Source organism: Homo sapiens, chromosome 3 (assembly GCF_000001405.40).
Source record: "Homo sapiens chromosome 3, GRCh38.p14 Primary Assembly".
NCBI classification, from domain to species: domain Eukaryota; kingdom Metazoa; phylum Chordata; class Mammalia; order Primates; family Hominidae; genus Homo; species Homo sapiens.
The window spans coordinates 48,732,303-48,746,431 of NC_000003.12; the positions used below are offsets into that span (position 1 = coordinate 48,732,303).

Here is a 14,129-nt window from a genome sequence, read left to right on the forward strand (position 1 = left end):
AGAGGTTACAATGAGCCGAGATCGCACCACTGCACTCCAGCCTGCAGCCTGGGTGGGTGGCAGAGCAAGACTCTGTCTCAAAAACAAAAAACAAAAAACAAACAAACAAAAAAAAACAGAGCTGCACCAACTCTTGCTTTCAGGGATGTGAGAAAAAGGATGCTTCCAAACATTGTTGACAGAGGTAAGACTGGCTACAGCCTTTTTGGAAAGCAATTTGGCAAACTCCAGTAAAATAAAAATGCATATACTTCTGGGTCCTGTAATTCCAATCTTGGGATTCTCACTTATAGAAATAAAAGCACTGAGATGGCCGGGTGCAGTGGCTCACGACTGTAATCCCAGCACTTTGGGAGGCCAAGGTGGGCGGATCACGATGTCAGGAGATCGAGACCATCCTAGCTAACACGGTGAAACCTCATCTTTACTAAAAATACAAAAAATTAGCCAGGCGTGGTGGTGGGCGCCTGTAGTCCCAGCTACTTGGGAGGCTGAGGCAGGAGAATGGGGTGAACCCGGGAGGCGGAGCTTGCAGTGAGCTGAGACTGCGCCACTGCACTCCAGCCTGGGCGACACAGCAAGACTCCGTCTCAAAAAAGAAAAAAAAAAGCACTGAGATATGAACAATATAGTCAGGGATATTTATTGCTATATCACATGTAGTGGGAGAAAAAGCCTGCAAAGTGATGGCCCATCCACAAGGGCATAGTTAAAGACATTTTGGGACCTCTAAAGTGTTATGGCTACTACATTGTGTAACAAATTACCTCAAATTTGGTGGCTTATAACAACTTATTTTGCTCACAAATCTGCCATTTGAGCAAGATTCAATGGAGATAACTTTTCTCTGATGCATTAGCTGGGGAAGCTTGCAGGCTGGGGTTGGAATCATCTGAAGGCTCCTCACTTGAAGTCTGCCATTTGAGGCTGGCTGTCATCTGAGAATTTAGCCAGGGCTGAAAACCTGCATGTGGCCTCTCCTGGACTTCCTCACAACATGGTAGATAGATTCCAAGGATGATTATACTAAGTGAGAGCAAGTAAAGTGGAAGTTCTGATACAGGGCTGGTGAGCCCTAAAGTGGAGCTTAGCCCATGAGGGTTCTTGGCTTTGCCCAGGAAAGAATTCAAGGGCAAGCCAGAAGTAGAAGAAAACACCCTCACCCTCACCCTCACCCTCACCCTCTCCCTCTCCCTCTCCCTCTCCCCACGGTCTCCCTCTCCCTCTCTTTCCACGGTCTCCCTCTGATGCCAAGCCAAAGCTGGACTGTACTGCTGCCATCTCGGCTCACTGCAACCTCCCTGCCTGATTCTCCTGCCTCAGCCTGCCCAGTGCCTGCGATTGCAGGCGCGCGCCGCCACGCCTGACTGGTTTTCGTATTTTTTTGGTGGAGACTGGGTTTCGCTGTGTTGGCTGGGCTGGTCTCCAGCTCCTAACCACGAGTGATCCGCCAGCCTCGGCCTCCCGAGGTGCCGGGATTGCAGACGGAGTCTGGTTCACTCAGTGCTCAATGGTGCCCAGGCTGGAGTGCAGTGGCGTGATCTCGGCTCGCCACAACCTCCACCTCCCAGCCGCCTGCCTTGGCCTCCCAAAGTGCCCAGATTACAGCCTCTGCCTGGCCGCCACCCCGTCTGGGAAGTGAGGAGCGTCTCTGCCTGGCCGCCCATCGTCTGGGAGGTGAGGAGCCCCTCTGCCCGGCTGCCCAGTCTGGAAAGTGAGGAGTGTCTCTGCCTGGCCGCCATCCCATCTAGGAAGTGAGGAGCGCCTCTTCCCGGCCGCCATCCCATCTAGGAAGTGAGGAGCGTCTCTGCCCGGCCGCCCATCGTCTGAGATGTGGGGAGCGTCTCTGCCCCGCCGCCCCGTCTGGGATGTGAGGAGCGCCTCTGCCTGGCCGTGACCCCGTCTGGGAGGTGAGGAGCGTCTCTGTCCGGCCGCCCCGTCTGAGAAGTGAGGAGACCCTCCGCCTGGCAACCGCCCCGTCTGAGAAGTGAGGAGCCCCTCCGCCTGGCAGCCGCCCCGTCTGAGAAGTGAGGAGCCTCTCCGCCCGGCAGCCACCCCGTCTGGGAAGTGAGGAGTGTCTCCGCCCAGCAGCCACCCCGTCCGGGAGGGAGGTGGGGGGGTCAGCCCCCCGCCCGGCCAGCCGCCCCGTCCGGGAGGGAGGTGGGGGTCAGCCCCCGCCAGGCCAGCCGCCCCGTCTGGGAGGGAGGTGGGGGGGTCAGCCCCCCGCCCGGCCAGCCGCCCCATCCGGGAGGTGAGGGGCGCCTCTGCCCAGCCGCCCCTACTGGGAAGTGAGGAGCCCCTCTGCCCGGCCAGCCACCCCGTCCGGGAGGGAGGTGGGGGGGTCAACCCCCCGCCCGGCCAGCCGCCCCATCCTGGAGGGAGGTGGGGGGGTCAGCCCCCTGCCCGGCCAGCCGCCCCATCTGGGAGGGAGGTGGGGGGGTCAGCCCCCCGCCTGGCCAGCCGCCCCGTCTGGGAGGTGAGGGGCGCCTCTGCCCGGCCGCCCCTACTGGGAAGTGAGGAGCCCCCCCGCCCGGCCAGCCGCCCCGTCTGGGAGGTGAGGGGCGCCTCTGCCCGGCCACCCCTTCTGGGAAGTGAGGAGCCCCTCTGCCCGGCCACCACCCCGTCTGGGAGGTGTGCCCGACAGCTCATTGAGAACGGGCCATGATGACAATGGCGGTTTTGTGGAATAGAAAGGGGGGAAAGGTGGGGAAAAGATTGAGAAATCGGATGGTTGCCGTGTCTGTGTAGAAAGAAGTAGACATGGGAGACTTTTCATTTTGTTCTGTACTAAGAAAAGTTCTTCTGCCTTGGGATCCTGTAGATCTGTGACCTTACCCCCAACCCTGTGCTCTCTGAAACATGTGCTGTGTCCACTCAGGGTTAAATGGATTAAGGGCGGTGCAAGATGTGCTTTGTTAAACAGATGCTTGGAGACAGCATGCTCGTTAAGAGTCATCACCACTCCCTAGTCTCAAGTAGGCAGGGACACAAACACTGCGGAAGGCCGCAGGGTCCTCTGCCTAGGAAAACCAGAGACCTTTGTTCACTTGTTTATCTGCTGACCTTCCCTCCACTATTGTCCTATGACCCTGCCAAATCCCCCTCTGCGAGAAACACCCAAGAATGATCAATAAAAAAAAAAAAAAAGAAAGAAAACAGCTTTGTTGAAGAGGCGGTGTTAGGGCTCTGTGACTGCTCCTGCAGAGCAGGGCTATCCCTTGGGCAGAGAGTAGCAGCTCAGGGCAGTTTTGCAGTCATATTTATATCCACTTTTAATTGCATGCAGATTAAGGAGCTGTTTAAGCAGAAATCTCTAGGGAAGAGGTAGTAACTTTTGGGTCATTGGATCATTGCCACGGAAAGAGGCAGTAAGTCCTGGGTGTTGCCATGGCAATGGTAAATTGAAAGCACGTTGGTGGGTATGTCTGATTGAAAGCCTCTTCCTCCCCAGGCCCTGTTTTAGCTAGTCCTCAATCTAGTGCAGCGTCCGAGCCCCACCTCTGGAGTCAAGTACCCACCTCCTACCTAAGTTCTTTTTTTATTTTTATTTTTAAATAGAGACTGGGTCTATATGTTGCCCAGGCTGGTCTTGAACTTCGGGGCTCAAGTGATCTTCCCACCTTGGCCTCCCAAAGTACTGGGATTACAGGTGTGAGTCACTGTATCTGGATCCTGTTTTAGTTCTATCAACTTTTCTAACCTAGATTCAGATATCACACAGTATAATTTCTGCCCCATTCTATTCAATAGAAGCAGTCACTGAAGCTGGCCCATATTTAAGGAGAGGGAGCTTAGATTCCACTTTTTGTGGGAAGAGTATAAAAATATTTGTGGACAGGTTTTATATTATCATCAAAAAGAAGGAACTGGGATAATGCCACTTCATTTGGAGGGCCTGCCACAAAGTTGGAATGAGTAAGAAAAGTGAGATGCAGAAAAGTATGTACAAAATAACCTAAATGTGTACAACAAAGACAAACCACTTTGTGTGAATATGTGTATGCTTTTTTTTTTTTGAGACAGAGTCTCATGATGTCTCCCTGGCTGGAGTGCAATGGCGTGATCTCTCTTAGCTCACTGCAACCTCCGCCTCCCAGTTTCAAGCGATTCTTGTGCCTCAGCCTCCCGAGTAGCTGGGACTACAGGCATGCACCACCATATCCAGCTAATTTTTTGTATTTTAAAAACATTATTTATTTAATTTTTAGATGGAGTTTCGCTCTTGTCACCCAGGCTGGAGTGCAGTGGCACAATCTCGGCTCATTGCAACCTCTCTGCCTCCTGAGTTCAAGTGATTGTCCTGCTTCAGCCTCCCAAGAAGCTGGGATTACAGGCGCCTGCCACCATGCGCAGCTAATTTTTTGTATTTTTAGTAGAGACAGGGTTTCGCCATGTTGGGCAGGCTGGTCTTTAACTCCTGACCTCAGGTGATCCACCTGCCTCAGCCTCCCAAAGTGCTGGGATTACAGGCGTGAGCCACTTGCACCTGGCCGTGTGTATGCTTTTATAATTATATAAGCCAGGAGAAAAGTAGGGAACATACAGTTTGTAAACATGGGTTGCAGAAAATGGTGATAGAAGGGAGGGAAAGGAAAAGAGGAAAAGATAAAAGATTTAAAGGACAGCAGTTATGATGGGTTCTCTCTTATGCAATTAATTATAGGTATATATTTAGCTGGAGGAACGAAGAAATTCTTTAGAGAGGCATCCTTAGGTGACAGAAAGATTAAGAAAATCAAGGAAGTGATGACCTCCTTATCTTAAAACTCAGGATAGGGTAGGGAGGGGTGACTGGTGGGCCACAAGGGGGTGCTGCAGGGCACTGGGAATGTTTTTCATCTGTGTTGGGTTTCTGTTTGGTCTGTGAAAAATAATTGAGCAAAACATCTTTGTTTTATGTACTTTTATGTATTTGTTATATCCTACACTTTAAAAAATTAAATTAAAAAAACAAAACCTGCTGGGCATGGTGGCTCACACCTGTAATCCCAGCACTTTGGGAGGCTGAGGCAGGCGAGTCACTAGGACAGGAGTTCAAGAACAGCCTGGCCAAAATGGTGAAACCCCGTCTCTACTAAAAATACAAAAAATTAGCTGGGTGTGGTGGCACACACCTGTAGTGCCAGCTACTCGAGAGGCTGAGGCAGGAGAATCGCTTAAATCTGGGAGATGGAGGTTGCAGTGAGCTGAGACTGTGCCATTGCACTCTAGCCTGGGTGACAAAGCAAGACTCTGTCTCAAAAAACAAACAAAACCAAAAGCAAAGCAAAATTTGCATAAGGTTCCCAGTGGTTGCAGTGAAGGGACAGTAGATAGGCCTTGGCCTGGACCATTTACGCCTTTGCAAGGCTGGAAGGAAGTTACATGAGCACTCAGCCGAGGGCTAATGTGGCAAAAGTCACATTTCAAAAATAAGACTCTGGCTGTTAATCCTAGAGGGTAATTAAGACTGGGACTAAAGCCAAGTATTAAGTCCAAGGAGGGGAAAGCACTGGAGGGATTTTAAAGAAGAGTTGGGATCTGAGAGTGGACAGATTAGAGGTGATGGCAGTTGGAGACTTCTTCAGGACAGAAGGGTGGTACAACTGGAGAGGGAGTACTGATGAAAAATAAGAGGATGGGCCGGGTGTGGTGGCTCATGCCTGCAATCCCAGCACTTTGGGAGGCCAAGGCGGGCGGATCACATGAGATCAGGAGTTCCAGACCAGACTGGCCAACATGGTGAAGTCCTGTCTCTACTAAAAATACAAAATTAGCAGGACGTGGTGGCCTGCACCTGTAATCCCAGCTATTCAGGAGGCTGAGGTAGGAGAATCCATTGAACCTGGGAGGTGGAGGTTGCAGTGAGCCGAGCTCGTGCCACTGCACTCCAGCCTGAGCAACACAGCGAGACTCCATCTCAAGAAAAAAAAAAAAAAAGACAATATTTGGGACAGCTGTTTCATAGCCTTAGTGGAGATGTCAAGCAGTGGGACAACTAGTTCAGGGTGAAGTGTCCCAGCTGGAAGTATAAATTCAGAGAGAGCAGCATGGTGATAACACTCAAAGCCACACTGTTCCTGACAAAATTCCCTAAGGAGGGAGGGAGGGAGAAGAGCCCAGAGTACAGTCTTGGGTCACTCCAACATTTAACTATGTGTAGTTAAAGGTGGCAACAGAGATGAGGATGATCATAAGAGCTGGAAGGAAAACCAGGAGGGCTGAATGATTCCTGAGAATGTGGTCCTTGAAGCAGGAGGGAGAAGTCAATCCCAGTGAATTTTGCTGGGATTCCAGAGAGCTAGTATGTGCACTGGTTTTGTCAGCGGAAGTCACTGGGGACTGTGCCATGGGCTGTGGCAAGAATGGGAGGTGAGGAAGGGTAATGGCAACCACAGGCAAGTTTCAGAATGGGGCAGGAGCTAGAGGAGGATGGTGGGGAGCAAAGAGGGAGACCGGAGTTTCTGACCCATGGCAAGTCATTGCTGAGGGAGGCAGAGGTGCGAGAGGTTGGAGGACAGGGCTCTAGGGCCAGGCAGCAAGCACTGCAATGGTTTTGGAGATGAAGGGTACAGGTGAGATGCTGAGCACAGACCTCACCTCCAGGATGTAGGTCTTCAGGCCCCTGGCAGAGATGGGCCTCTGATCCCCAAAGAGGACCTCCAAAGGTGGAGGGGGCAAGAGTCTGATGAGGAGGTAGAGGGGTGCTTCTGCACTCCAGGTTCCTTTTCCTGCCCATTCCTTAAACCCGCTGGCTGTTCTTGCTCACCCCCACTCCCTCCTGCCTGGAGTCAGCCCAGGGCCTCCAGCGCTGAAGAACTGGACAGGCAGCTCAGCTCGGAGTTGGGAACACAATGGTCCCACTCGGGCAGAGGTGGGGCTAAGGTCTCTGATGACCCTCAGCTGCACCCACAGCCCTGGGACGTGGGCCATGCAGAGAGGGGTTGGTGGCAAATAATTCCTAGATTTTTTTTTTCCAGAACAAAAGACAGGAAAATTACCAAGAAAAGGATCCCACAAGGCCAGGGTTGGGAGGGTTCCTAGTATATCCTGGACACACACACCCTGTCCCCAGCACGTCCAGGCAGGACAAAGCTGGAGGGGCCAGCTGAGGTATTCCCATTGTGCTAGAAGCCCGCCCAGTGTCAGTGGGCCCCACCCCTGCACTCTTAATATGCCCTTGCATGCACCTGGCCCTTGAACTAGTTCCCCAGTGCCAAGTGAGGGCCTTCCCGGTTTTCAGTTGTGAGGCCAGCTCTGCGTTAGGGGTGGGGGCTGCTTTTGCTGTAAGCCAGAGATACAAACCTTGAGGTGAGCACAAAGGCAGAGACCACAGCAGCGAGTGGACCCCAGACAATTGATTGCAGTTGGGTCTTGGCCCAGCCCAGGTAGGCAAGGGACTCAGGCAATGCCAGGGTCAGTGGGAGTGGACATCCTCCCATAAGCCTGCCATCTTCGTACACAGCTGCAAGCGGAGGCCCAGGATGAGGGTCCCAACCCGTTTTTGTCTGGCTAGACTGAGACAGGAGCTGTCAGCCAGGTGGAACCATCTTGAGTCCCGAGGGAGGTGCAGCGCCCCAAGCTCAGAGTCTGAGGGTCACATGCTCTTCCACCCAGCTATGCTCTGGTTGGAAAAGAGCTCAGGGACCCAGTGCCACCAAGGCTGGAGCTTCCTGGAGAACAACCCCTCGTGTGGGGTCTGGGCTGAGACTTGGAAGGTCAGCGGGGGCCCTGAGCCAGCGCGCAGCCTCATTTGTCACCCTGGGCTTGGGGCCGGCTGCACAGTTCTGGGGCAGGATGCTGGGAGCTCCAGGACAGCCCGGCCCCTGCTGGCCAAAGTGGCAAAATGCAGTACTGCCACTCACGCGTGCTTCCAGCATGTCCCGCGTCCCAGGCTTACCCGTCCCAAAGGCCTTCTCCCTACCTGGCCACAGGCCAAGACTCAGCTCACAGCAGACATGGGAGTGTGTACTGCAGCTGTCCACTCGTGCCCACGCCAGCAGTTTCAGAATGAAAGTGAACAGTTTGACCATCACTGGATGTTATACTCTAAAGTGCTGGTTTGCTTATCTGGTGGGTCTAGATTTTAGCTCCTTTTTATCTGTTTAGCAGACAAAAAACAACTGCACACACCTCCCCTCCTTCCGGGAGTTGGAGGACCTAGCCAGAAAGGGTATTGCTGGATCCTGGCTTATAGCAGAGTACACAGTGACCTTTGTCCCCTGGCTCAGTGCAGTTCTGCAGAGGGAGGAAGGGGTAGGCCCATGGCCAAGAAGGCTACAGGGGATTTGGCTGGTATCTTCTGTTTCAGCAGCCTTCCCCAATAGCTGCCTGTCAAATGTGCATTTGTCTGCCTATCAGCATAGACTGACTGGTGAAGAGTCCTGCTGGTTTTCCTAGTGGGTAGTGCCAATCCTCTGGTCTCATACTGTAGCCTGGCTAGCCTCCTGCCCTGTGGTGTACAAATGGGCTGGGCACGCCTAACTTTGTGTACTGAAAGACATGCCAGATAAATGGTTTTATAGAACAGAAAGAAATGCCCACAAGATCAAGGATTCTGGTTGGGAAGAAGTGAGAGGGAGGGTTAGAAATGTTGTAAGTGGCTGGGCGCGGTGGCTCACACCTGTAATCCCAGCACTTTGGGAGGCCGAAATGGGTGGATCACTTGACGTCAGGGATTCGAGACCATCCTGGCCAACATGGTGAAACCCCATCTCTACTAAAAATACAAAAATTAGCTGGGCGTGGTGGCGCATGCCTGTAATCCCAGCTACTCGGGAGGTGGAGGCGGGAGAATTGCTTGAACCCGGGAGGCGGAGGAGGTTGCAGTGAGCCAAGATCACGCCACTGCACACTCCAGCCTGGGCAACAGAGTAAGACTGTCTCAAAAAAAAAAAAATTCACACATAAGAGACACCTTCAACTGGGCGCAGTGGCTCACGCCTGTAATCCCAGCATTTTGGGAGGCCGAAGCGGGCGGATCACCTCAGGTCTCTACTAAAAATACAAAATTAGCTGGGCGTGGTGGCACATGCCTGTAATTCCAGCTACACTAGGAGGCTGAGGCAGAAGAATTGCTTGAACCCGGGAGGCGAAGTGCAGTGAGCCAAGATTACGCCATTGCACTCTAGCCTGGGCAACAAGAGCGAGACTCTGTCTCAAAAAAAAAGAGACACCTTCAGAAAAATTTGATTCCTAGCACCTGACCTCACAGAAGGCAATTGAGGCCAGAAATGCATTGCTGGCCAAACTTTCTCATGATGTTTAGAATAACTAGCATAAAGATCACAATTTCTGGCTGGGCGCAGTGGCTCACGCCTGCAATCCCAGCACTTTGGGAGGCTGAGGCGGGCGAATCATTTGAGCTCAGGAGTTCCAGAGCAGCCTGGCCAACATGGTGAAACCCTGTCTCTACTAAAAATACAAAAATTAGCTGGGCATGGTGGTGGGTGCCTGTAATCCCAGCTTCTTGGGAGGCTGAAGCAGGACAATCACTTGAACTAAGGAGGCAGAGAGGTTGCAATGAGCCGAGATTGTGCCACTGCACTCTGGCCTGGGCGACAAGAGTGAAACTCTGTCTCAAAAAAAAAAAAAAAAAAGATGACAGTTTCTGAGGAGTCCCTACCTGGGGGGAGTCCTTCAAATCTTAAATCTAGTTGTTCTTGGCCAGGCGCAGTGGCTCATGCCTATAATCCCGGCACGTTGGGAGGACAAGGAGGGCGGATCATGAGGTCAGGAGTTCAAGACCAGCCTGGCCAACATAGGGAAACCCCGTCTCTACTAAAAATACAAAACTTAGCTAGGCGTGGTGGCGCATGCCTGTAGTCCCAGCTACTTGGGAGGCTGAGGCAGGAGAATCGCTTGAACACGGAAGGCGGAGGTTGCAGTGAGCTGAGATCACACCACTGCACTCCAGCCTAGGTAACAGAGTGAGACTCTGTCTCAAAAAACAAAACAAAATACAACAAAACAAAACAAAAAACTAGCTGTTCTCCTTTCACTGCTCCCCCAGAATGCTTCTATAAACAGAATTGTATGATGCAAGGTAGAGCAGCAAGGGACATCACATGCTTGCGTGTCTAGGTTACTCATTTTATGAAGACACAACAGCAGCCCAGAGAGAAAAGAGTAGCATGACTAAGGACAACAGACACTAGAAGCATAATCATCCTTGAGATAGGAGAGGGGCTGCTATCTGCATGAGTCCAGAAATGTGGAGGAACAGGCCCGGAGCGGCAGCTCACGCCTGTAATTCCAGCACTTTGGGAGGCTGAGACTGGCGGATCACCTGAAGTCAGGAGTTTGAGACCAGCCAGGCCAACATGGTGAAACCCCATTTCTATAAAAATACAAAAATTAGCCAGGTATGGTGGCACACGCCTGTAATCCCAGCTACTCGGGAGGCTGAGGCTCGAGAATCACTTGAACCCGGGAGGCGGAGCTTGCAGTGAGCTGAGATCGTGCCACTGCACTCAAAAAAAAAAAAAAAAAAAAGAGAGAAACATGGAGGATAAACTCCACGGGCACTGGATGAAAGCTCCAGGAATCACCTGATAGATCTCAGTACCATTATTGTTGCTAATTCTTGGGGTTTAAACACAGGGTTAGAAACATTCACAGCTGGTCATCAGGATTTATTCAATGAACAAATGAGCTTAGGCAGACCTAACTTCTAACATTCCAAGTTAGAACTTGGTAATACTTGTCTGAATTCACAACTGATTAGTAGGTTCCTGGTCAACACTCAGCATTTTTTTTTCTTTTTTTGAGACGGAGTCTCACTCTGTTGCCAGGCTGGAGTGCAGTGGCACGATCTCAGCTCACTGAAAACTCCGCCTCCGAGGTTCAAGCGATTCTCCTGCCTCAACCTCCCGAATAGCTGGGACTACAGGCGCATGCCACCACGCCCAGATAATTTTTGTACTTTTATTTATTTTTTTCTTTGAGATGGAGTCTTGCTCTGTTGCCCAGGCTGGAGTGCAGTAGCACGATCTCGGCTCACTGCAACCTTCGCCTCCCAGGTTCAAGTGATTCTCCTGCCTCAGCCTCCTGAGTAGCTGGAATTACTGCACACCATCACACCCGGCTAATTTTTGTATTTTCAGTAGAGACGGGGTTTCACCATGTTGGTCAGGCTGGTCTCGAACTCCTGACCTCATGTTCTGCCCACCTCGGCTTTCCAATGTGTCGGGATTACAGGTGTGAGCTACTGTGCCCGCCCTAATTTTTGTATTTTTAGTAGACGCGGGGTTTCACTACGTTGGCCAGGATGGTCTTGATCTCTTACCCTCATGGTCCGCCTGCCTCGGCCTCCCAAGGTGCTGGGATTACAGGCGTGAGCCACAGCACCTGGCCAACACTCCACATTTTATTTATATATCAGAAAACAATCAGGTAACAGTATGTATCACTGGCCATGATTTGTCTCTAGAGAGAATGGGTAAAGGAAGCAAAATTTATACTTAATATGATGCTTTGTTAAGTGACCCCAATTTCCTCCCACTTTTTAATACTGTTTTAATTGTTGTTATAAAATTAAGTGATTCCCTATCACTATATACTCAGGTAATATATTCAGGTAACTTTGATGGGACAAATTTCTAGCTTCCTGTTAGGACACACTAACATAGTCCTCATGTAATGTTCCCTCTTCAAGGCTGAGACTACGGATGATATGATCTTGACATTGTCCTGGAATGTCTTATGTCATAGCAGTACTACCACGAAAACAAAACCACAATTTTGTTTTTTCCTTTTGGTGGAGAATGGGGTCTCGTTACGTTGCCCAGGCAGGTCTCGGACTCCTGGGCTCGAGCTATCCTCCTGCCTCTGCCTCCCTAAGAGCTGGGATTATAGGCGTGAGCCACTGTGCCCAGCCACAATTTTTTTTTAATTAAAAAAAATTTTTTAGAGATGCGGTTTCATGATCGAGACCATCCTGGCTAACACGGTGAAACCCTGTCTCTACTGAAAAAAAAAAAAAATTAGCCGGGCATGGTGGTGGGCGCCTGTAGTCCTGGCTACTCGGGAGGCTGAGGCAAGGAGAATAGCATGAACCCAGGAGGTGGAGCTTGCAATGAGCCAAGATCACGTCACTGCACTCCAGCCTGGGCGACAGAGCAAGACTCTGTCTTTAAAAAAAAAAAAGAGCGAGAGATGCGGTTTCACTATGTTGCCCAGGCTGGTCTTAAACTCCTGGGCTCAAGCGATCCTCCCACTTCAGCCTCCCAAAGGGCTGAGATTACAGGAGTGAGCCACCATGCCTGGCTGACATTTAATTTTTAAAGCTTTCAAACAAAGACACTTTGGTTTTTAGAGGGTTCAGCTACCAGTTTATTGGGCCCTAGTGAGTCCCAAGATTTCCATCTACCAGTTGCTTGGGTCCTAGATTTCATATGCTCCCACAGTTGGCCCTTTGGTACAGGCAGGTGTCTCTGTCCAAATGTGGGCAAGATCAAACTGCAACAAGGCGCTTCCTTTGGTCACCTGAAAAGAAATTGTAGGTACAGTGGGCTGTCACAGCATCCTTGCTAGTTCTGGTTATAGCCATGTCACAGAGAAGGAAATTATGTAAATAATATTGAGTGACAGATGTTTTCTACTTTTTTTTTTAAACGGAGTCTCACTCTGTTGCCCAGGCTGGAGTGCAGTGGCGCAATCTTGGTTCACTGCAACCTCTACCTCCTGGGTTCAAGCAATTCTCCTGCCTCAGCCTCCTGAGTAGTTGGGATTACAGGCACCCGCCACCACACCTGGATAATATTTGTATTTTTAGTAGAGACGGGGTTTCACCATGTTGGCCAGGCTGGTTTTAAACTCCTGACCTCAAATGATCCACCTGCCTCAGCCTCCCAAAGTCCTGGGATTATAGGCATGAGCAACCGCACCCAGCCTTTTTTTTTTTTTTTTTCAGACACCGTGCCAGGCTATTTTTTATTTTTTGTAGAGACAGGGTCTTACTATGTTGCCCAGGCTGGTTTCAAACTTCAATGATCCTCCTGCCTTAGCCTCCCAAAGCACCTGGATTACAGGTGTGAGCCACCATACCCAGCTCTGCTGGGTTTCATTGGTGAGTTTGTCTTCCTGGCAAGGGATATACAGGATACCCTTGCACATCATCCACAACCATTCAAATACCATGTTGTGATTGCTAATTTTATGTGTTAACTTGACTGGGCCACAGTGTGCCCAGATATTTGATCCAACATTATTCCAGATGTTTCTGTGAGGGTGTTTTTGGATAAGGTTTTTTTTTTTTTTTTTTTTTTTTGAGACTGAGTTTCACTCTTGTCGCCCATGCTGGAGTGAGTGGAATGATGCAATCTCGGCTCACTGCAACCTCCACCTCCTGGGTTCAAGTGACTCTCCTACCTCAGCCTTCCAAATGGCTGGGATTATAGGAATGTGCCACCATACCTGGCTAATATTTGTGTTTTTAGTAGAGACTGGGTTTCACCATGTTGGCCAGGCTGGTCTCAAACTCCTGACCTCAGGTGATCCGCCCACCTCCACCTCCCAAAGTGCTGGGATTACAGGTCTGAGTCATCGTGCCCAGCCTGGATAAGATTAACATTTAATTTGGTATAGAAGTAAAGTAGATGACCTTCCCTAATGTGTGTGGGCCTCATCCAATCAGTCGAAGGCGTGAATAGAACAAAAAGGCCAACTCTTCCCCAAGTAAGACAGAATGCCCACCTTTGAACTGGGATGTTGTCTTTTTTCCTGCTTTTGGACGCTAACTGAAACACTGGTTCTTCCTGGGTCTTGAGCCTGCTGGCTTTTGGACAAGAACAACAACATTGGCTCTTCTGAATCTCAGGCCTTCACATTTGAACTGGAACTAAACCATTGGCTCTCCTGGGTCTACAGCTAGCCAATTCACCCTGCAGATCTTGGGACTTGCCCACCTCCATAACTGTGTGAGCCAATTCCTTATAATAAATCTTTAGGCTGGGTGCAGTGGCTCACACCTATAATTCCAGCACTTTGGGAAGCTGGAAGCTGAGGCAGGAAGACTGCTTGAGCCTAGGAGTTTGAAACCAGCCTGGACAACATAGTGAGATCCTGTCACTAAAAAAAAAAAAAAAAAAAAAAAAAGAATCTTTATACACATACACACACACCCTACTGACTGCTTCTCTGGAGAACCC

General features: G+C 50.5%; 1 protein-coding gene across 2 annotated transcripts in view, besides 1 other annotated feature; it reads right to left on the reverse strand.

Annotated features, from left to right (window-relative positions):
- Positions 5,244-5,333: a silencer, noted in NCBI's record as "silent region_14339". NCBI's record gives its function as "represses an Ori minimal core promoter by ATAC-STARR-seq in GM12878 lymphoblastoid cells {active_cell/tissue: GM12878}" and the evidence as "EXISTENCE:reporter gene assay evidence [ECO:0000049][PMID:35858748]".
- The window catches only part of PRKAR2A (protein kinase cAMP-dependent type II regulatory subunit alpha), a 103,284-nt gene continuing 101,443 nt past the window's right edge, over positions 12,289-14,129 (reverse strand). Inside the window, exons 12-13 of one of the 2 annotated variants that reach the window (XR_002959546.2) lie at positions 13,675-13,756; positions 12,289-12,465 (exon numbers count right to left, since the gene is read on the reverse strand). The gene's annotated coding sequence lies outside the window, so the exon portion shown is untranslated. The remainder of the gene's footprint in view (positions 12,466-13,674; positions 13,757-14,129) is intronic. The other variant, XM_011533942.4, reaches the window with a different exon arrangement.